This window comes from Homo sapiens, chromosome 11 (assembly GCF_000001405.40).
Source record: "Homo sapiens chromosome 11, GRCh38.p14 Primary Assembly".
Lineage (NCBI taxonomy): Eukaryota > Metazoa > Chordata > Mammalia > Primates > Hominidae > Homo > Homo sapiens.
In genome coordinates this window covers 4,076,926-4,099,185 of record NC_000011.10, presented here as the reverse complement: position 1 = coordinate 4,099,185, position 22,260 = coordinate 4,076,926, and the positions used below count along the sequence as shown (strand labels likewise).

Below are 22,260 nucleotides of genomic sequence, written 5' to 3'. Positions count from 1 at the left end.
GGGCAACAGAGCAAGACTCCGTCTCAAAAAATAAAAAATAAAATTAAAAAATCCTCTAGCATACTAGTGTGATTTCCTCTTGGCTATAAACTGTCTTTCATTCTTCTCTCTTCAGGAAGACTTCCCTAATCCTGTAAGACCAAGGATGCGTGCCTTTTCCACAGGATACAAACTTTCTAATTCCCTCTGCCGAGAATGTTCAGGCCACAGATCTCACATTACTAGCTCTTAATACTATTTAGGGTTCAGCTCAAATGTTGGCTTCTCAGAGAAGCCTTTCCTGGCTACCCAATCCAAGGTTATTTTCTCATTCATCTTTATCACATGATCCTGTTTTACTATCATCTCATTAATCAGTATCTGAAATTAACTGATTATTATGTTTACTTCTTATTTCTTATATACACTTACCACTCCCACCCACACCAAGAAGTCAACTCAATGAGAAATGTAATTTAGCTTTGTTCACTGCAGAATCTCTAATGCCTACAACGGTTCCTAGCACAAAGAGGTGCTGAATAAATGCTTTATGAATAACTGAATGAATGGCCTCTACTGCCTATACTTTACCTATCAGAGTATTTATCATATTTTATCATATTACTTCTTTATTTGTCTATCTTTCTCAATTGATTGTAGGATCTTTGGAAGCTGGAACCATGTCTGCCTACTCATCACTGCAATCCCGGTGAACAGCACGGTATCCACAGAGTTGTAAAATAATATTAGCAGGCTGTGAATGGAATAGGAAGGAAGGAAGGAAGGAAGGAGGAAGGGACGGAGGGAGGGGGAGAGGGAGGGGAGGGAGGGAGGAGGGCAGGAAAGAAGGGAGGGAGAAAGGAAGGAAGGAAGCAAGGAGGGAGGGAAGGAAGGGAGGGAGGAAGAAAGGGAGGAAGGAAGGGAGGGAGGGAGGCAGGGATAGGGAAAGAATCTGGAATAAAAGAAAGATTAGAGTGCAAATGGATGCTTTCAAAGACATTATTTCGTAAACTTTTGTATCATTTTATGTGTATCCACATATATACACATGTCTGTAAAATGTTTTGTTTTTTACTGTGAGTTACAATCCAAAGTTTTGAAAATACTACACTAAATTCCAAAACAGTTTACAACTCAGTTAGCTACTTTGTCATTTACTGCAATGGTTCTCAATGTTTATTTTTTTAACCATAATCTCCTTGAGGAATGATACTCTCCCATTAGGAAAAATAGCTCAAGATAGCAGATGAAAAAAACTCATCTACTATTCTCTTCTATCTAATAATTTTCATATGGATTGTTCCTAAATCCCTAACAATTTTAAGTTCTTTGAAGATAGAGCTGCCTTCTCCATTACTGCCCTCACAGTGTTTAGCAAGACATTAGCATATTCAGTAGGTACTTCAAAGTCAACTTCCAGTTGCCCTTGTTATTAAAAATAACAAAAACTAGCCAGGCGTGGTGGCACACATCTGTAGTCCCAGCTACTGAGGAGGCTGAGGCAGGAGAATCTCTTGAACCCAGGAGGCAGACACTGCAGTGAGCTGAGATCACACCACTGCACTCCAGCCTGGATGACAGAGCAAGACCCCATCTCAAAGAAAATTAACAAAAACTGTAGGAGTTAGTCTGCTATTCCACTGACATGCCAAAAATAAGGGGGTACAAAAAAAGTCCAGAAAACCAAAAACCCTATGCATATTAAAAAACATTAAAATATAGAAACATAGAAATATAAAAAAAAAAAGAAACAAACAAATCTAAGTACATGTTGTATATTAAGTCTTGCTGAATGCTACAATGGCAGAATCTACAGCATGAACCATCTGGATCAAATTGTGCTCTATGAAGGAATGAGAAAATAAGCTCTGCTTTTTAGAGCTAGTTATAGCTAGCACTTTGTGGTTTTTTTTTTTTTTTTTTTTTTTGAGACAGAGTGTCACTCTGTCGCCTAGACTGGAGTGCAATGGCACGATTTCAGCAACCTCTGCCTCCCAGGCTCAAGCGATTCTCCTGCCTCAGCCTCCTGAGTAGCTGGGATTACAGGTGCAAACCACTACCGTCCGGCTAACTTTTGTGTTTTTAGTAGAGACGGGGTTCCACCATGTTGGCCCAGCTGGTCTCAAACTCCACACCTCAAATGATCCACCCACCTCAGCCTCCCAAAGTGCTGGGATTACAGGCGTGAGCCACCATGCCCTGCCACGCCAGGCCAAGGTAGCACTTTTTAAACGAAAGTATTTAGAAGTAGACTCTAAAAGTTCAAAATTCAACACAGGGTTGAATTTTACCCATTCTGGTCATCTAAGTCCATACATTTTCAATTCATCTTTGTTACTGACTTATCATAGACCATCCTAAACATCTCTCCCATATCTAAAGATTTAAAAAATAGATGCTCAAGCCAGGTGCGGTGGCTCCCAGCACTGTAATCCAAGCACTTTGGGAGGCTGAAGTGGGAAGAATGCTTGAGCCCAGGAGTTCAAGACAAGCCTGGGCAACATAGCGAGACTCCTTCTCTAAAAAAATACAAATAAATAATAATGTAAAAAAATAAAAATACAAAAATAGATGCTCAGCTCTCACTCTTATGAATGGATCAATAAAAGTGCACTATGTTATTTTGCTCTTTGGTCAGCTAAAATGTGAGCTAGGAAAATTCACAGAATGATGTTCTCAAGATACCAAAAACAAGAAAGGCCACTACTGTCCACCTTTCCAACTCTTGTCTGTAGTTAAACCAATCTGGACATTGGCTGTAGTTAAACCAAATCAACTACCTGCTTATTCACAGCATTCATCGTGTCCTACATTTTGATACAACTATTTTCATTCATTCTTTAAGAATCTGTTCATGTCAGGTCCTGTGCTAAACGTGAACAGAAAAGTCTCCATCTTGCTTGTATTCCCAGCACTTTGGGAAGCCAAGGAAGGGAGGATGGTTTGAGGCCAGGAATTCAAGGCCAGACTGGGAAACACAGCAAGACTCCTTTACTACCAGAAATTTTTAAAAATTAGCCACTCATGGTGGTGCATGCCTATAGTCCCAGCTACTTGAGAGGCTGAGGCAAGAGCATCGCTTGAGCCCAGGACTTCAAGGTTACAGTAAGCTATGATTACACCACTGCATTCCATCCTGGGTGACAGAGCAAGACTCTGTCTCAAACAAGTCTCCATCTTTGAAATGTTCACAGCCTAGAGGACAAAATAGAAACAACCAGTCGATTAACCAGTATTTACTAAGTGCCTACAATTTTGAAATCATTGTATTGCTTTAACAAAGGCAAGTAGGTTCAACTCAAAACTTGTTCATACGTATCTCATGCGGTTGTTAAAAGTATGTTGCTCTTGTTTTTCCAACCCGATGAAGCCTGTTCCCAAGGCAGGGACTGTCTCCTCCTACAATCTCACAAAGCCAAGCAAAGGGCTGGGCACAAAGCGGGCACTTGGCAAGTCTAATGAAAAAGAACTGTTGAGAAAGAATACGAGTTCCTGACTCTTCCCAGTCCCCATCTTGTCAGAAGATGTCTCAGCCACCCTTCTCTGATTCAGCATCTCTTCCCATGAAGGGAAAGGAACTCGAGGGTGCTGTCTGTCTGGGATCTGTTTTTTCCACGCCACACTCCTATCCTCACCCCACAAAAGAGATCAGTAAACTGACAAGTGCCTACGGAGGGTAGAGAGGCCCCCTCCTTCTTTCCTAGCTGCCCCCCGACCCTGTGCCTAAGACAGCTCACCAACCCCACGGTTTTCAAATCAAACCGTATTGTCACCTATGGGTGACTTTGGGTCAGTCGGCGACACCTCGCTCTGAGCGTCAGTTTCCTCATCTGTAATAAGCTAATCATCTCTCAGAGGCTTGCAGGGAGGAATAAAATAGTGCCTGGCAAGTGCTCGGCGTACGCAGTCACTACTCGATACGGGGTAAGTGTTATCCTTTTGAAAGGCGGCAGGATGACAAAGCCGAGGGGGCGCAGCCTGAAGGCCCGAAGGAGGTTCGGGGCAGGCTGACTGAAGACAGAAGGCCGAGCGGGCTGACAGGGCGGAAGGCCGCGGCGGGAAATGCGGGAAAGGCGGGAAGCAGCGAAGGCGGGCGGGCGGTCTGGGCATCAGCTCCGGCGGCGGCAGCCCGCATCCCCTCACCTTCCTTCTCGCCCACCTCGTCCCCCCCTCACCTCGCTTGATCACATGCATCGCAGCTAGTGGCTGAGGCTCTGAAGGATCCAAGACTGGACTGCGGCTCTAAAGCGCCGGCGGGATCGAGAAGGTGACAGAGTGGGAAGGGTTAGGTTCCAGGCGCTGCTCAGGGGAAAGAACTGGAGTTGGAGCCAGACAGCACTTTCTTCAGAGCAGAGGCGCAACAATCCAAATCCCCTTCCCGCGCCCGCCACCCGTGACGCACAAAGGGGCGCGACGGGGTTCGAATGACGTTACTCGACGCTGCGGCCCACGCCCGGGGTAGGCTTCACAGACTGACAGGCGACGTGTAGCCGCCATGTTGAGTCTGGGCAAGACCCAGAAGACTACGCCTCTCCCATGGGCCCCATTGGATATGGACATGCCCGGCGGAAATGCTGCTCTCCTGCTACCATGTTTTGTGTGGGCAAGCCGAGTTCGGGACCCTCGGGGCCCTGGCGTAGCACCTAGAGCCCGCTGGGTCAGGCGCCGCCCTCTCACCTGCGCGTCTCCGCCGGAGGAAAGGCGGTTAATTTATTTTTGAAATAACAAAACCTAACCGGCGGGAACGTTTTTCTTGCTCTGACATTTATTATAATAATACTAACACTGCCGTCCGCTGTGGGCTCCAGCCCAGGCTCCACAGCCGTGGGCAGCTTGGAGCCCCAGGGCTTTTAGATCGGCCAGAGGACTGACACTCTGGAACTGGAAGAAAACCGCGCAAGGCCGATGGCGTTTGGATTTTATCCTGACGCAAATCAGAGCCCTGAGAGAATTTTAAGCAGGGCAGGGTCAGTACCCATTTGCTTTTAGGGTTCTTCAGTGGATGGTGGCAGAGACAGGGTATTTGCCTTGTGGAGGTAGGATGGACTTGGTGACTTAGAGTGGAGAATAAGAATAGATGAGAACCGTAATATGTAAGGCTGGTGTAGAAGCTTCTGATTTGGGCTACCCAAAGCGATCTTTATGAAATTTCATCTGTGGCATCTTTTCCCTAAAGCCTTTTCGTTGGTTTCTCACTGCCCTCCAGAAGCTGCCCAGGCTCCCTGTGAAGTAATTTCAAAAATCATGGAAAGTCGTAAGTGAGCCTGTAATTGCAGCATTTTGGGAGGCTAAGGCGGGAGCATCATGTGAGGCCAGGTGTTGAGATAAGCCTGGGCAACATAGTGAGACCCCATTTCTACAAAAAATAGAAAAAGTAGGCCAGCGCGGTGCTTCACTCCTGTAATCCCAGCACTATGGGAGGCCAAGGCGGGCAGATCACGAGGTCAGGAGTTCGAGACCAGCCTAACCAACGTGGTGAAACCCCCCCGCTGCTAAAAATACAAAAAGTAGCCAGGCATGGTAGCACGCGCCTGTAATCCCAGCTACTCAGGAGGCTGAGGCAGAAGAATCGCTTGAACGCTGGAGGCAGAGGTTGCAGTGAGCCAAGATCGCGCCATTGCACCCTAGCCTAGGCAAGAGAGTGAGACGCCGTCTCAAAAAAAACAAAAAAAAAGAAAGAAAAATTAAATAGATATGTTTTTTAAAAGTCGTAAGTGAAGTTATAGGATAGATAGGGTCAAGTTTACCCAGACATAGGGTTTCCCAATTTAGCAAATAAAAATGTGTCCCAGATACTGCATGAGAGAAAATTATACTTTAAAAACTGTTTATCTGAAATTCACATTTAACTGGTCATCCTGCATTTATCTGGTAACCCTGCCCACAGAGCTTCTGGGCATGTGCATTCAAGTTTCATTTTCCCTGGGCAAAGGAAAGATTGTCTCTTTATCCCATCATGCCACAGCACAGAGAACACAATGAGAGTCAAAGCCAGCAGTGGTTAAAATCTCCTACATGCTTTATTGGACTTCAAAGAATTTTATGAAATAACACAGAAAACCCCATTTGAGGGTGTCCAGGGAGTACAAGGCAGTCTGCAGCCTAGCACCCTCCTAAGACCAGCCCCAGGTATACCCACCCCAGGCCCAAAATAGGATCCCAGGATAAAGGTATGGCAGGGAGTGGGGCAGAGGAAAAATACCTTTACAGCCATAGCAAAAACAGGTAAGGGAGAGAGTTGTCTAGAGGGTGGGAAGGGTGGGGGAAAGTGGTCACACAGCCGCCTTCACCTATACCATCTTCCTTAGCCACCCCTTCCCCAAACTGGTTGTGTCCTTTTTGAGCCTCTGGCCAAGGCTACAAAGTAACATGAAAATGGGATCTAACAAGGGGAATATGCAGCGTAGGCACTTGGGAAATTCAGATTACTTTTTTTCCTTTTAACCTGTTTGTCTTTTGGTTCAAAAAATGACAGCATCCTTGCCCAACAACTCCAGGGCTCCATAAGAGCCCTGTATCATGGCTGTGGCTCTCCTGGCCAGGGGAGCCACTTGTCCTGAGCCCTAGGAGTATTGATGCTTGGGGAGCTTTGGGGCAGCACCTCTTAGAGACAAATCCTCCTGCAGTGTGGGGGAGCAGGGGTAAGAGGGAGGCAGGTGTGGGTGGGAGTAGAGAGAAAAAGTGACTGCCTTATAACCTACAGTTCTGGCATCCACTCATGCTCCAATGAACAGATGCCTCTCCCAACCCATTCCCAAGCCTGGCCTCTCTTTAAAAGTCTCTGGTGGGTTGTTCTCTGAGAATTGGTTTCACTCCCCCATGGATCCCTGGAGGCCTGAGTGAGATTAGGATGAGGCTCCTTCTGACCCACATCAATACCAAAGAACAAACTTCAAAGATTAGGCCCTAGCCCCAGTCTGGAGCAAACAGAACCACTGTGAGTGGGGTGGAACAGATCTGAGGCACACATGTCAGAAGCTACTCGTCCTATCTTCCCTGCAACTGCTAGGGGAAGTTGGGGAGTGGTGGGAGGGAGGAGCCCGAAAGCAAGAGACAGAAACAAGAAACCAAACCTCAAAACTGGGACAGCAGAGACAGAAGCTGAACCCCAGAGGTGGAGCTGGGAGCTGAGGGAACAGCAACTAAGACATGCACTGAAGTGGAGAGGGAGTGACAGCAGCAGCCCATGGTTGGGACGGAGGCAGGGCAGGCAGGCCATGGTGGTCAGTTAATAAATAATAATGAAGGACCCAAGGATGAGGGGGCAGGTATGTACAGTGCCCAGACCCCTGGACCAGCCCTTCCCATGCCCCACTCTTGGGGCCAGTTATCTTGAAGGAAGGGAGGGAAGGAGAGACAGAACACCCAGGGAAGGACAAGCTGTCCCTTTACTGCCACCCCATCCTGCCTACTTCTTAAGAGGCTTCTTAAAGATTTTGAGGGGAAACTTCTTCCGGCCTGGGCTGGAGTCTGTTTCCTCGCCAATAGAGCCATTATCCTCCTCAGCCACAGCCTTCTTGCCAGCCAGGTGGGGAATGCGTGTGTTTCGGCTGGCTTGCAGGGCTCGGCTGTCCCCAACTGGAGATGGTGTGTCTGGGTCTGGGGAGCTGGGGCTGTGAGAACGGGAAGAATCCAAATGTGGAGAGCCACCAGGTGGGGCTGAGGGGCTCAGCTCCATCAGGCTGTGGGCCTTGTCCAGCCCATGGTTCAGCGCCAGTAATGCCTTCTTGGCCAGGGCAGGGCTGTCAGGCAGTTTCTCCACCAGAGACCCTGGGTGGACCCCCTCGATCAGCCGGTGGCTGCCATTGGAAGTCATGGCATTGAGAGCCTCGTCTGCAGCACGGCTCATCTGAGGAGGTTTGGGGGCCACACGCTGGCGGTCACTCATGTGGAGGGAGGACTCCGAATCGGAATGGGTCAAATCCCTGCAAGACATGGGGCAGAGAGGAAGAAAGGGACATATATTGGATGAGGTGATAGGGGAAAGGCGAAGAGGAGAGAGGGACAACACGAGAAGACAAGGACAGGGTAGGAAAATGGGGATAGAGCGGCAGGAGAGAGAAATAGGATGAACAGGCAGGTGGGAAGGAGAGAGGAAAGAGGAATAGACAGAAGTTGAGCAGCCATAAGTATAGGATAAGAGAGGAGGCAGGAGGAGGGAATGAGGATAGATTGGAAAAGAGACAGGAAAAGGAGAGTAGAATTGTAGAGGAAGAAAAGCAAAAGGATAAGCAGGTAGAAAGAAGGGCCAAGAGAGAAAGACAAGAAAGGGAAAAGTGATAGGGAGGGAAGAAACAGATAAGAAACAAAAACAAATGTCATCATACCATCATCTGTCTGGCAAATGGTTTTCCAATACCTGGGCCCCACCAGTGGTGAATGCTCTGGCTCTGAACTGGTGCAGCCATAGGCTTAAATTCCACAGGCGGCATCCTCAATAAAATCTCTGCCTTCTCATAGCTGGCTGTATTTCCTGGGACTCAAGCTAACACAGAACCTACAGCCTGCTCCGAGTCACCATTTTCCATGCCTTCCTTCCCCACTTACTCCTGTCACACCTTAGGATATTATCCAGTCTGGGCCAGGCCCCAAGGAACAGGGCACATGCAGTCAGTGGACCTGACCCAGGCTGGAGATGAGAAGGTTAGAACAGCCTTGCAAATAATCCTTCACCCACCCCAAAAGGCCAGGATGCTGCCTCTTCTAACCATCTCATAGGATTCAAAGGAGGTCATAGATAGGTATTGCAGAGTTCAAACCAAAGTCTGTGGTGCGGCAGGAAGGGTGGGGTCTCTTTCAGAACTCTGCTGACGGAGAATGTAGGGAGGCATAGAAAGACAGGATGTTGGCCTTTAAAGAGCAGTGGTTCAGAAGAGGTCTGGACTCCTGTGTGATCTTGGACAAGTCAAGTCATCTAAACTTGCTAGTCCTTAACTTTGGCCTAATGAAGATAATACCAATTCAATTTATCTTACAAGACTGTTTGGAGGATCAAATATGCTGGCAAAGCACTTGGAAATGTAGAAATTATTGTGGGAATGAAGATGATGAGGCCTGCCAAGCTGAAAGGCCTATGTACGGGCCGGTCGCAAGAGGCTTCTTTGCAAGGCTGAGTTATGGAGACATGCCACCGCACACTGGACATGCACACACACAGGCTAGTCTAGGAACTTGAGACCCTTTAAGGAGCTGGTGGTTGCTAAGACCATGAATCAATTCCAGATGCCACTCCTCCTGCTCTACAGACAAAAAGGTAGATATGGAGGTGCTCTCTCTGCCAATCCTGAATCCTCCTTCTGCCTTCCTAGAGGCCTGAGAACCTCAGCAAAAGCAGAGGAGAGACCTAAGGGAAATGTTTAAACGTCTGCTAGCCAAAGGGGAAGAGTCATGAATGGAAAAGGAGACCACCATAGGACCTAGAAAGAAAGAGGCTGAGGGTCAGAAGTTAGGAAGGGTACCAGGCCCCTGAAACAGGCAAAAGCAGGGGGTTGGCTCATAGCTATTGTAGATTTAATTCTCAGTTGGAAGCAAATAACTAAGTAGCCACCCCATGGGCCAGTACCTTCCTGGACTCAGCAGGCAGCAGAGAACAATTCCAACTCAGCTTCCATTCTACAAATACTGTTTTAGCCACATATTCTAGTATTTACAAATATTCAGTCTCATATTTGGTTTCATATATCTGACACTGTCCTTGCTTCTAAACTTGTCCTTGTTTCTCTAAGCCCCAAGATGATCCTCTCCATATCTTGCCTTCTCCAAACACTATTATAAACCAATGAGCAAGGTGCCAAGGAAGTTCTGGGAAGCAATCACACTGAGAAAAAGGGTCCTCTAAGCTGAGGAAGTGAAGATTCTGGGATCCTACCCTCTCTAACACCAAGGAGGAGAAATCAGGAGGTTAGGGCCCTCCCAGCCTCACTTCTCCTGGACCAGACCCCTATTTCATCTTGATTCCTATCCATCTTTTTATTTATTTATTTATTGACAGGGTCTTGCTCTGTTGCCCAGGCTGGAGTGCAATGGCGCGATCTCGGCTCACTGCAGCCTTGACCTCCCAGGCTCAAGTGATCCTCCTATGTAGCTGGGACCACAGGCATGTGCCACCATGCCCAACTAAATTTTTGATTTTTTTTTTGTAGAGACAGGGTCTCACTTTGTTTCCCAGGCTGGTCTCAAACTCCTGGGCTTAAGCAGTCCTCCGCTCTCGGCCTCCCAAAGTGCTAGGATTACAGGTGTGAGCCACTGCACCCAGCCTGATTCCTGTCCTTCTATGCCTCTCTCATCAGCTAAAAGTTGGGACTGCCAAAGCAAGATAAGAACCTGGGAGGAAGCCTAGGGAGATATAGGAGGGAAAAGGCCCAGTGAGGCAGGCTCACCTTCCCTCCCTGAATCACTGAGAACAATCAGGCCAGAGGTCCCTCCCCAAAGGCTGGGCTGCCTCGGACTCCCATCCCAAGCTACTGACCTTACTAGAGAGCCTGTTTGCCTTTAGAGATGATCCTCTGGTGCGTGGTGCAAAAGAAAATTAAGTAGTGAACAGGCCAGGTGGATACAGGTACCTCTCCGCCCTTCCTCCCCACTGCCCTCAGCTTAAACCTTGGAGCATGGAATTCACAGCATCCCTTAGTGTCCCCAACCCAATTTGATCCTCTCCATCTGTACTGGAAGGAGCAGTCTCCCTTCCTAGGCTTTTGGATGAAAATGAGAATGAGAATGGATATGAGTGGCTCTGCTGAGTAATAATCCTAGTAAGGGCAATCCCTTTGTGCAAGAGAAAGGAACAGCCCTCAAGCATAACTATCCAGAGGTTTAAGGGGCAGAGCTGAATAAATGGGTATCCAGAGTGAGATAGAACTAAAAAAAAGCAACAGAGTAAGCAGACTGCAGCCCAGAGGCCAGGACTGGGCTGTGGTCACCATTTCAGAGATGAGAAGTACTTCCAGAGGGGAAGGACTTTCTGAAGGTCTCCTAAGCTTGTTCCAGGCAAGGTCAAGGCTACTATCTCTGATTCTAGTCTACCATCTTGGGTATTAGCAAGAATAGTCTCTGCAGCTGCCAGACAAAGCTGTGGAAGAAAAACCTTTCACCAATTATTTTCCAGTACACTTTTTGAGACCTTGTGAAAAGACAAAAATATCCAACGGAGTATTCTGGAATGGAAAGCCAAGTTCTAATCTGTGCTCTGCTCTCAACTAGCTATGAGACCTGGAGGGAATTACTTACCCTTTTAGAACCTTAACTTACTGTTCTTAAAATGTGTATTTTAATTCCTGCCCCACCTATAAACTCTTCTTGTCCAAAACCCCAAAACCTATGTCCGCTATCTTGGTTCCCGAATTCCATGAAGGACGTTATGTCCACTCAGTCACTCAAGCTATAAACCTGAGTGTCATACTAGATCCTCCCTTTCCTTCACCACTGTAGCCAGTTACCAAATTTATCATGTCTTTTTATCCCAAGTCCTCATTACCTCCCCTAGTGGTCTACTGGAATGTTTTCCAAATTCCTGTAGTCTTCCACTTCCTTCCTTCACACAGCCACTAAAATGTTATTTCTAAAATGCAAATGTGACTGATTCACTTTCTCTTAGAAACCCTTTTGTAGTTCTCCATCTCCTAACGGGTAGAGGCCAAAACCCTTCCCTTTCGGAGCCTTCGTCATTCTAGCCTCACCTGTTTCTCCTTCCCACCAACACATATCCAGTGTTCTAACCACAAATATATTGTATTCTCTGGAATCTCCATGTCTCTGCATACAGTGTTTCCTCTGCCTAGAATACTCTTTCTCCTTTCCCTTCACACAGGATGTTAGCACAAATTCATCTCTTTGGTGAAGCATTCCACCCAGGTACACACTGTTAGTCACTCCTTCCTCAACACCCCCATAGCACTTAATAAATTTTTCCATAATTATTTATGTATCTCTCTCAGACAAGATTGTAGTTCTTGATGGCTGGGATTGTATCTTATCACCAGTGAACCCCTATGCCCAGCAGAGCCTGGCACAGAGTAGGCATTAGTAAATGTTTGTTGAAGGAGTAAAGGAAGTGAGGGCCCAAGTGAGATAACTAATGTGAAAGTGCATAGTTTAGGCAAAAGTGCTATAGGGTCATGAGGGAAGAAAGTCGTTACTCATTTTTAGAGTCAGCAAACCCCAAACACAGAAGGGGAGAAAGTAGGCTGACCTTAAAAAGGAATCCCAGAGCTGGGAACAAACAGGATAAGAAGATTCCCCACTGCACACACCCCCAGAGTTGATCAAGCAGCAGCTGGCAGGCAGAAACCAAGGTAAAAGCAGCAGAAAGGGAAGGAAGGGAAGAAAGAAAAGAGAGACAGCTGATACCCCAAGCTCTCTGAATGCCCAGGCATCACAGCGGTGCTGTCAGAAGGGGGTGTGTCAGGGTAGGGCTCCATCTGGAGGAAATAGGAAGTGCTGTGGTGGTAATAAACAGGGTGGACATGGACGGTGGTGAAGGTGGTGGTGGTGGTGGTGGTAGTGGTGATGGTGGTGATGGAAGAGGAGCAAGAAGCAGCAGCAGAGGCAGATGGAGAGCTGGTCCCGTAGCCTTCAGAACTGAAAGACTGTCCAGATGAAAGGCTGCGCATTCGCCGCAGAGATACCCGGCTTGTCAAGAAGTGGCCAGCCTCGCCCTCTACCAACCTCTGAGATCCCAGGCCATGCTGTGGCTCCGTCAGGCGCTGCCGAACACTGCTCTGCAGGCTAGGGGCTGCAAGGAGAATAAAGAAAGTGTCAGGAGGGGCCAGCCCACTTTGGGCTGGCAGGTAAGGAGGTGCCCATGAATAAATGCTTGCTGGAGACCACCCTGGGCCTCTAATGCCAATCTGGAGAATGGGGCACCTCCTCCCAGAAACCTCCCACCAGGGGTCCTAAAAGGATGGGAAATTGAAGATGAAGTGCCCAGGTCAGTTTTAGTGGCAATTCCAATAGAAGGAGACCTATGGGCAATATCACTATAAAGGGAAGTGGCAAGGCAGTTAGTGGGTAGACACAAGCAAGGAAGGGTAGGATAGGGGCTTGGGATAAGGTCCGGGAGAGCACTAAGAACCAGCCTTTTCAGAAAGCCAACCTCAGGAAATAATTCACAGCATAGACAAGGACTTATACATAAACATGTTCATCATTATTAATAATTAAATGAGAAGTAAACATAATTGTTTACTTTTTATTAATAGTTGTATGAAAGTAAACATAAATAATGAACAATGGGAAAATGATAACATATCCAGTTTCTGGGAGACTATAGAGCTATTAAAAATGATGCTTATAAAAAGACTTGAAGAAAATGGAAAAATGCCTATTAAAATGTTCAGAGGGGAAAAAGGATACAGAATTATAGGTACTAGCCTTGAGCTTTGGAATACCAAACACTAGAGGTTGAAACCAGGACTTTCACTTCTAGCTGTGACCTTGAGCAGCTGACTTCCCCATTTTAATTCCTAATTTCTAAAATCCTGCAGGGTTCTTCTGAGACTTCACAATAATGTCTTTAAGGCACCTGAAACAGGTCATGGCACTCAATAAGTGGCAGTGGCTATCATTATCTTAACCACATAAAAAATTTCACAGAAAAGAGTGATAGAGAAGGTGCTCAAATATGGTGGGACTATGGATGCTTTTTATGCTAATGTTCACTCTTTTTCGCTTTCCAATAAGCACATAAACAACAAAGAACCAGCTCTTGGATCAGGCTGCAAATCGGGGTCCTGGAGATAATGGCCACTATGCCCAGTGAAGGGATACATGGGCACCAAGTAACTTAGGAATATGCTAGTGCATCCCCCTTTGGGCTCACTCCCAGCTAAAAGAGAGTGCAGACCTTTATTCTTTCTCCTCTAGCCTGATAGATAAGCTTCCCTGCATTCTACCTAAAGATGAGAGAAAGGGCCAGGTTACAAGGGTGAGCGAAGCCTTGGAAGGACCACCAGGGAGACAGCATAATTCCATAGTGATGGAGAGTTCAGGAGGTAGGGCTTCTATGCTGGTAGCTTTCAAGGTACGAAAGAGAGGCTGAAGAGGATGAGGAAGTCTGGAATAGGGGGGGGAAGGGGGAGAAAGAAGGGGGAAACTGGGAAGAAAAGGGAGAAACATGAAAAAGAGAAAAGAAAGGGGTCATTTGTCCTTCCCTCTTTCCCTCCCAGCCCAGATGGAAGAAGGGCTACCAGGTTACCTGCACAGCTGCGCTAAAGGGAGAAGCCTAAGCCTTCCATTACCATGGGTGTTCTCTGTCCAGCTCTTGCCAAGCAAGCTGATTCTTCTCACCCCCGAACCCCTCCCTGTAGTTAGTAGGGACAGTGCTGAGGGGATAGAGGGAGCAGGCAGGGGCGTGAAGCAGGCAGGAGAAGGGACCCATGGGGTAAGAGTGTTGATTTAGTCCCGAAAGTCAGAAAAACAAAATGCCCCAAAGGGGCTCCTCAAACCGGGGTATTTCCAGAGGGACTGATCATCCGAGCCGGCGGATGTAGAGCAGAGAGAGCGGTCACTGAACCTACGCCCCATCAGCCAGGCAGCATCTAGGGTCAACAGCCAGGCCAAAAGGAGAAGAGAATCTGATTTATGGAGGGCTTCGGCCTGCCATCAATGTAATAAAGGAAGGGCTGGGGGCAGGGATTGGGTAGCTCAGAGCTAATTAAGGTCCCTCCCAGCCTGGAGAACACAGAAGCCTTCAGATCAGCAAGTCAGGATCAAGCTCTGCCTGTCAGTGATCCTGTCCTTGTTAAGCCTTTGATTAAAGGCCTAACGAGTTATCAGATTAGAAGAACAAAGAGGCTTGGCCAGGGGCAAAGTATTATTGATAAAATTACAAATAAATTCTGTCTCGAGTGGGAATCCAGCCTGATTAAAGAATCTGAAAGTAAGCCCCTAACCCAGCCCCGGCCTTCTGCCCTCCCGCTGAACTGGCAGAATATGGGCCTAGGACAATAGCTTTACCATAAGGGCTATTCTACTTACTTAAAATAGCATCTGATCCAAAGAAAAATTCAATTGTGGGCCAGTAAGGGAAAACTCCCTTCATTCACTGAAGAATTCCAGTGTTGTTCCTTTTGGCTCTGCTCTACTCAACTCTCATCACTTGCAGGGGAGAAAAGGGAGAGGGAAGATCCAGGACAGAGGAAGAGCGGGTAGGATCCAAGAGTCCAGGTGGAAAGCCAGACATGCTTGTGCAGGAGATCCCTCCTGGGCAAGAATGCCTTTCCAGCTTAGAGGATTTAGGACTATATCACTTTAAGGGACTATTTCTTTATAGGGCCTCTCACAAAAACACAAAAAGAAACATCATTCCATTCATCTACTTTAGCAATAAGAATAAGGAACAAAAATCAAAATAAATAAGTTCAATAAATAGAATAAATGCCATTTTTACATTGAAATTCACTAAAGGACATATTTTTTATAAAGGTAGATAGAGTGGTAGTTAGGGACAATAAAGTGAAAAAGAATGAAGGGAGACACACTTAGCACAATAGACCCAAAGGGGCACACAGAGCATACAACAAGGAAAGAACACCAAAAGGACAACTATAAAGAAATAACCTGAGTAAATTGTGCTTTATTGACCAAGGTCATGAGTTGAACTATCTTCCTGGGTATCTGCCCCATCTGCTGTTTAAGCACAACAGAGGCCACAGACTTCTCAACCTGTACATCAAAGGCTCCTTCCTTCATCCCCGCAAAGAGGTCACCTACACTGCATGGACAAGGGAGACACAATCTCCTCATCCATGTCATCCACGTCGTCAGTCATGATGAAGTGAGCAGGGTTGGGGCGTGTACTGCCCATCCAGCTGGGGTCTATGTTGAGGGCAGCCACCAGTGAGTGGATGCCAGGGTTGTTGACAATCTGGAAGCCACAGAGGATCTCGATCTGTTGCCAGCGGTGCAGGCGCTCCCGCAATGCTGCTGTCACCTCGCTCAGTGCTTGCCTGAAGACAGAGGAAAGAGAACTGCAGGCATGGACTTGGTGTGAGCCCCAATAGGAATGAAGCCTCTTCTCAGAGGAACAAGTTTTGAGAATATGTGTGAATAAAACACACAATAAACTCAAACTTAAGAGCAAGGCAGGAGATAAATAAAGGCTGAGGCAGGAGACCAGAGCTGTCCCTCCACCAATGAGGAAATGGAATTGGTGTTGGAGGCCCTGTATGCCCTCAAATTCTGAGGATGATATGGACATTGCCAGAGTAGATAACTGGTGTTACTTACTTAGCTGTTAGAATTTTATGATCTACATCATCCAGGGAAGAGCTGTGGGCCACGTGGAAGGTGCCAAAGAGTGTGTTTCTCTTCTTTTTTATCTTCTCAGCCTGCAAAGATGAGGCCCCCAGCTCAAAAAGAGCAGGGATTCGAGAATGGAATAAATGAGAAAGGCCTTCCCCTATGGCTGGGGCCCACTCCTCCTAGCACAACTGAGGCTGTACAAGGAAAGGGAAGAGAAAGAGGAAAAAGAGAAAGGCAGGCAAGGTAGAAGAAAAAGGAGGGGGACAAAATAGAGAAAGCGAGGGGAGAAGCAAAGGGGTCCTTGATAGCCCTTTTGCCCCAGGAGGACCTCTGTCCCCATGGCAGCCTGGGGCTGGCAGAGCTTTCCCTCTGCCTGCCTCCACTTGTTTCATCTTTCCCAGAAGACAGGCAGGAATGCCCCTACACCCTCATTCCCTCCTCCAGAAGCCTGAGGACACTGTCAGGAGCTGAACATTAGGAAAGAAACAGAACCCACCACCAGGATATCTCTTCACCCAATGGGAGGAACAGGGAGAGGGAGAGAAGAGGAAGATATGCAGGTAAAAAGGAGAAGGGCAAAAAGGAGAAAAGAGGACAATAGAAGGGCTGTTCTCACCCCCTCCTTGGCCACCAGCAGCTGCTTCTCAGCATTTTGCTTCTTGATGTTGTAATATTGCACCTCCACCTCATGTGTCAGCTGCAGCCACTTCTGAAGGGCCTCTGGAGCATACCATGAGCTGTGAGATTCTAGCTCCTTCTCTGCTTTCCTCAAGGCCTCCCGAACCTAGGCAGCCAAAAGGATGTGAGTTCATTTACTGCTACTAAGACTCTCCAACATCTCTGTATGATGCTTCAGAACTCAGACTTCTTATCTGCTTTACAACTCTCCCAGGAAGGAGAAAAGGTAAGGATTATTTTCCGTATTTTATATAGAAGAAAGCAAGCTCAGCGAAGAAAATTAACCTACTCAAGGTCAACAGTGTCAACCAGAACCCAAATTGAGATGTTTCTGTTCCCAGACAAAGGCATTCTTTTCTATCACATCAGCTTACTTTCCTGGTCATGCAGCAAGTTCCAGCAGTCTTCCCTGATCTCTTCAGGAACAGGTCAGCTAGTGAATCATCTTACCAAGAGTCAGGGTCTGTGCTTAGACTTCAAGACATCACAGTGTGACAGAAAAAGCACTGGTCAGGAATCTGAAAATCTAGTTCTGGTCCCTGGTCTGTCGCTTAACTGGTTGTGTGACCCTGTGCTTCCTAAACCGGCTCTTAATTCAGTGTGAGGAAGGACTTTCTCCCATGCAAATCCAAACTATCAGTGAAGGGGTGATCTCAGGAGAGAATGAGTTCCCTGTCATGGGAGTTATGTGAAGAGCTCATGTCAGAGAGAACTGAAAAATGATTGGTACTTCAGAAGGGCATTGTCCTGAATGCTCTCCAAAGTCTTCTCTAGCCCAGAGACTGCGTCTATGATTCTCTCAGGGAGTAGAGCAAGTGGGCTTTGAAAAGAACTCTGTAAAAGGTGGGAAGATAATGAGCATGCCCACACCTAACACAGGCATTGCCAACAGAAGCCAAGACATGAGAGGACCAATGTATAAGTAGAAATAACCGACTTCTCTGCAGGGAGCACACAATGAGGCAGTCACAAAGCACTAAAGTGTAAAAGACTTGAAAGTACATACAGACATTATGTACACTGAGTTTCTTGCTGTCTCATCCAAGCTACCAGCATAAGTGATCTCCAATTCTCCTACCTGAACAGAATCCCAGAGAAGATGCATTGAAAGCAGTCTTATTATCCCCAGCTTCAGCCAATGAGGTAAACATCCCATAGCAAGCCTGAGGTCCTCTCCACAGCTAAGATAGGCCAGGAGGGCCTCAGCTAGGGACAGAACACCTTTATTCCTTTAAGAGGCAATGAGAGTGCCAATCTTCACTTGGTTTCTGTTCCCTGAAAAAAAAAACCTAAAAATAGCCCATTCCTGGTTTTATAGCTCTAAATGAAGACTAGATACCTTAGAGACTAATATACCAAGTCTGAAAATTTATGATCAAGTTCTATATTAAAAGCAGTTTAAGGAATGGGATAAGCTAAGAAGGGAAGAATGGATGAAGAAGAGAAAAAAAGAGAGCAAATAGAAGCATGATAGTCAGGGAGGCATACAAAGGGGCAGGCCTACAAGGCTCAAAAACTGTTGGGAGCTAGGCACAGTGGCTCACGCCTGTAATCCCAGTAGTTTGGAAGGCCAAAGCAGGAGGATCACTTGAGCCCAGGAGTTCGAGAGCAGCCTGAGCAACACAGCGAGACCTCATCTTACAAAAAATTGTAAAACTAGCCTGGTGGGATGGTGTGCACCTGTGGTCCCAGCTACTCAGGAGGCTGAGGTGGGAGGATCGCTTGAGTCCAGGAGGTCAAGACTGCAGTGAGCCAAGATCGTGCTACCACACTCCAGCCTGGGCAATAGAGTGAGACACTGTCTCAAAAAAAAAAAAAAAAACTGTTTGGTTAAAGAGAGAAATAACTACAAAATAAGGAATAGGGAAGATGGAAGACAGACAGACAGAAAGAGACATATCATGCCATGCACAGTAATAAATGTCTGATGGGAAGACAAGAGATGGGCAAGTCAGAGTTCTTGTCCTTTTATTTTATGGCTGTGGTTCTCAACCTTGTCACATACTGTAAACACATGGGGAACTTTTTTACTTTGTTTTATTTTGAGACAGGGTCTCATTGTGTCGCCCAGGCTGGAGTGCAGTGGTGCAGTCTCAGCTCACTGCAACCTCTGCCTCCCGGGCTCAAGTGATCCTCCCTCCTCAGCCTCCCGAGTAGCTTTGGGACCACAGGTGTGCACCACCATGCCCAGCTAATTTTTGTATTTATTTATTTATTTATTTATTTATTTCTTGGTAGAGACAGGGTTTTGCCATGTTGCCCAGGCTGGTTTCAAACTCCTGGGCTCAAGCGATCTGCCTGCCCTTTGCCTCCCAAAGTGTAAGGATTATAGGCGTGAGCTACCATGCCTGGCCAGGAACTTAAAAAAACACAGATACCTGGGTCCCAACCTAGAGACAGTGATTTCATTTATCTGGGGGGGTTTGCCTGGGCATTAAAATAGGCTCTCCAAGTCATTCTAATATGCAGCCAAAGTTAATAAACACTTATCTATATGTTTTAAATAAAGTGTTATCACCTGACTTCCACTTCCCAGTAGGATATGGTAGGTCATGGGAGAAAAACAATTCTGATCCAACACAACATCTGGAGAAAGCTGTATGCATTTTATGAAAATTGTGTTTTCAAAATTGTTTTTATTTTGAAAAATTTAGAAAATATGTTGTGTTAACATCTAAGGGGTTTGATATAGTTATTTTTATTTTATTTTTTTTTTGAGATGGAGTCTTGCTCTGTCACCCAGGCTGGAGTGCAGTGATGTGATCTCGGCTCACTGCAACTTCTGCCTCCCAGGTTCAAGCGATTCTCCTGCCTGAGCCTCCCGAATAGCTGTGATTACAGGTGCCTGCCACCACACCTGGCTAATTCTTGTATTTTTAGTAGAGACGGGGTTTCACTACGTTGGCCAGCCTGGTCTCGAACTCCTGACCTCAGGTGATCTGCACACCTCGGCCTCCCAAAGTGCTGGGATTACTTACAGACATGAGCCACCGTGCCCAGCCGGAGTCTTGCTCTGTCACCCAGGCTGGAGTGCAGTGGCGCGATCTCTCAGCTCACTGCAAGCTCCGCCTCCCAGGTTCAGGCCATTCTCCTGCCTCAGCCTCCCAAGTAGCTGGGATTACAGACACCCGCCACCACGCCCGGCTAATTTTTTGTATTTTTAGTAGAGACAGGGTGTCACCGTGTTAGCCAGGATGATCTCGATCTCCTGACTTCATGATCCGCCCGCTTTGGCCTCCCAAAGTGCTGGGATTACAGGCGTGAGCCACTGCACCTGGCTATATAGTTATTTTAAATGAATTAATAAATATTTTTTAATGTTCTCAGTTTTAATTTCTAATAGGTTAAATATCAACAGTATTACCCCCTATCAAAATGTTCTTTGAGGTCCTAAATAGTTTTTAAGAGTAAAGGGTCCTCGCTAAGTGTGGTGGCTCACGCCTGTAATCCCAGCACTTTGGGAGGCTGAGGTGGGTGGCTCACCTGAGGTCAGGAGTTCGAGACCAGCCTGACCAACATGGTGAAACCCCTTCTCTACTAAAAATACAAAAATTAGCCAGGTGTGGTGGCAGGCACCTGTAATCCCAGCTTTTCGGGAGGCTGAGGCAGGAGGAGAATTGCTTGAACCTGGGAGGCGGAGGTTGCAGTGAGCCGAGATTGTGCCATTGCACTCCAGCCTGGGCGACAAGAGCGAGACTCCATCTTAAAAAAAAAAAAAAAGTAGAGTCCTAAGAACAAAAAGTGTGAAAACCACTAGACTAGATAAACCAAAAGTCAGAGAGAAAAAAAGCCTTTCTAAGATGATTTGTCAATTGCCAGTCATTTTCTTCCTGGGAGACATTGATGATTTTAGGTGACAGCCGAAAATTGGGCTGGACCCATGTAGAAGATCTCCACTGGGGCACAAAGAAAACAGCCTACGAAGTGGCAGAACTGCATCTCTCACAGTCTTTCAGGGCTGAAGAGAAAGAAATTTAACAGCTTTCCATTTAAAAGTCAGGGAGGGACATACCTGAGAAACTGGGACAAATGAAAGCTACACCAAGTTTTACTAAAACTACAACCTAGTTCAAATGCAGCTTGATCTCTGATTGGCTTGAGGTGATCAGTTCCTTAATATACTTCACAAAAGAAAGGGGGAAAACTACCTGATGGAAGAGAAAATCATCTGGAGCCTCTATTGTTTTTTTATACACACTGTCCAGCATGTAATAAAAATAAATTATTAGACATAAATGGCAAAAAATATGACTAATAATCAAGAGGAAAAATAAGCAGTCCCATAAATGATCCAGATGTAAGAATTATAAGACAAGGACTTCAAAATAATTATGATTGCTATGTTAAGAGAAATACAGGAAAAGATGGATACAATAGATAAAAGATAGAAATTCTGGACAGGGAACTAGAACCTATAAAAGAGTAAAGTGGATATTCTAGAATTGAAAAATACATTGTCTGAGAGTAGGAACCCACTGGATGGGTTAAACACCAGAATGCTTACAGTAGAATGCAGAATTAAAGAACTTAAAAGATAGATCAATAGAAAATAACCAAACCAAAGCACAGAGAGAAAAAAGAACAGAACTGAGCATAAGAGACATGTGGAATACAGTTAAAAGATCTAACATAAATATTAGATTCTCAGAAGGAGAGGAGAGAATGGAGCAGAAGTATATTTTAAGAGATATATAAGTGCTAAAAAGAATGTATATTCTAGAGTTAGGCAAAGTGTTCTATATGTGTCAAGGAATTCAAATTTATTAACCATGTTTTTAAATTTTTTATATCCTTATGGATGCTGTTGGTGGCTTATTGAGAGAAGCATATTAAAATCTCTAACTTTGATTATAAAATTTGTCTAGTATCATTTTAGTTCAGTCAATATTTGCTTTACATATTTTAGACTACATCATTAGATGTATCCAAATTAAGGGCTGTTATATATTAAATTGAATTCATCCACTTATAATTATGAAATATCTATTTTTGGAGTCCAGTAATACTTCTTGACCTAAAGTTTACTTTATATTAATGTAAATATTACATTTATATTAATATATAGCTACCCTTGCTTTATTTCACTTAGCAACTGCTTTAGGTCAATACTTCATGACCTAAATCCTATTTTATATTAATATAAATATTATATCAATATATAGCTACTCCTGCTTAATTTTGCTGCTTTATTTTGTAACATATATCTTTTCTCATATCCTTTTCCTTTAACCTTTTTTTGTGTTCTTATATTTAAAATGTGTCTCTTACGAACAGCATATAATTGAGTTTTGGCATTAATCCAATCTGACAATCTTTGCCTTTTAACTGAATTGCTTAGTTGTTTTTTTATACAAACCAAGTCTC

General features: G+C 45.7%; 2 protein-coding genes across 22 annotated transcripts in view, besides 3 other annotated features; both read right to left on the bottom strand.

Annotated features, from left to right (window-relative positions):
* Positions 1 to 4,501, bottom strand: part of RRM1 (ribonucleotide reductase catalytic subunit M1) — a 44,248-nt gene extending 39,747 nt beyond the window's left edge. Inside the window, exon 1 of one of the 2 annotated variants that reach the window (NM_001318064.1) lies at positions 4,155 to 4,501. Coding sequence is in view for 1 of the 2 variants with exons in the window: in NM_001033.5 (NP_001024.1) it covers positions 4,155 to 4,173 (19 nt within the window). In the remaining variant the exon portion in view is untranslated. The remainder of the gene's footprint in view (positions 1 to 4,154) is intronic. The other variant, NM_001033.5, reaches the window with a different exon arrangement.
* Positions 4,158 to 4,627: an enhancer, noted in NCBI's record as "active region_4321". NCBI's record gives its function as "activates an Ori minimal core promoter by ATAC-STARR-seq in GM12878 lymphoblastoid cells {active_cell/tissue: GM12878}" and the evidence as "EXISTENCE:reporter gene assay evidence [ECO:0000049][PMID:35858748]".
* Positions 4,688 to 4,757: an enhancer, noted in NCBI's record as "active region_4320". NCBI's record gives its function as "activates an Ori minimal core promoter by ATAC-STARR-seq in GM12878 lymphoblastoid cells {active_cell/tissue: GM12878}" and the evidence as "EXISTENCE:reporter gene assay evidence [ECO:0000049][PMID:35858748]".
* STIM1 (stromal interaction molecule 1) overlaps positions 5,976 to 22,260 on the bottom strand; it is a 238,607-nt gene continuing 222,322 nt past the window's right edge. For 10 of the 20 annotated variants that reach the window (NR_168437.1, NR_168438.1, NM_001382575.1 and 7 more), the window contains 5 exons: positions 16,835 to 17,002; positions 16,204 to 16,304; positions 15,688 to 15,923; positions 12,643 to 12,709; positions 5,978 to 7,904 (listed from right to left, as the gene is read on the bottom strand). Coding sequence is in view for 17 of the 20 variants with exons in the window: in NM_001382575.1 (NP_001369504.1) it covers positions 7,388 to 7,904; positions 12,643 to 12,709; positions 15,688 to 15,923; positions 16,204 to 16,304; positions 16,835 to 17,002 (1,089 nt within the window). In the remaining 3 variants the exon portion in view is untranslated. Of the gene's footprint in view, positions 7,905 to 10,447; positions 10,485 to 12,324; positions 12,710 to 14,420; positions 14,514 to 15,530; positions 15,945 to 16,203; positions 16,305 to 16,834; positions 17,003 to 22,260 lie in introns of those variants that run through there. The other 10 variants (NM_001382578.1, NM_001382580.1, NM_001382579.1 and 7 more) reach the window with 7 other exon arrangements.
* Positions 7,433 to 7,727: a silencer, noted in NCBI's record as "tiled region #9588; K562 Repressive non-DNase unmatched - State 7:EnhWF". NCBI's record gives its function as "represses a minimal TATA promoter and a strong SV40 promoter by Sharpr-MPRA in K562 cells {active_cell/tissue: K562}" and the evidence as "EXISTENCE:reporter gene assay evidence [ECO:0000049][PMID:27701403]".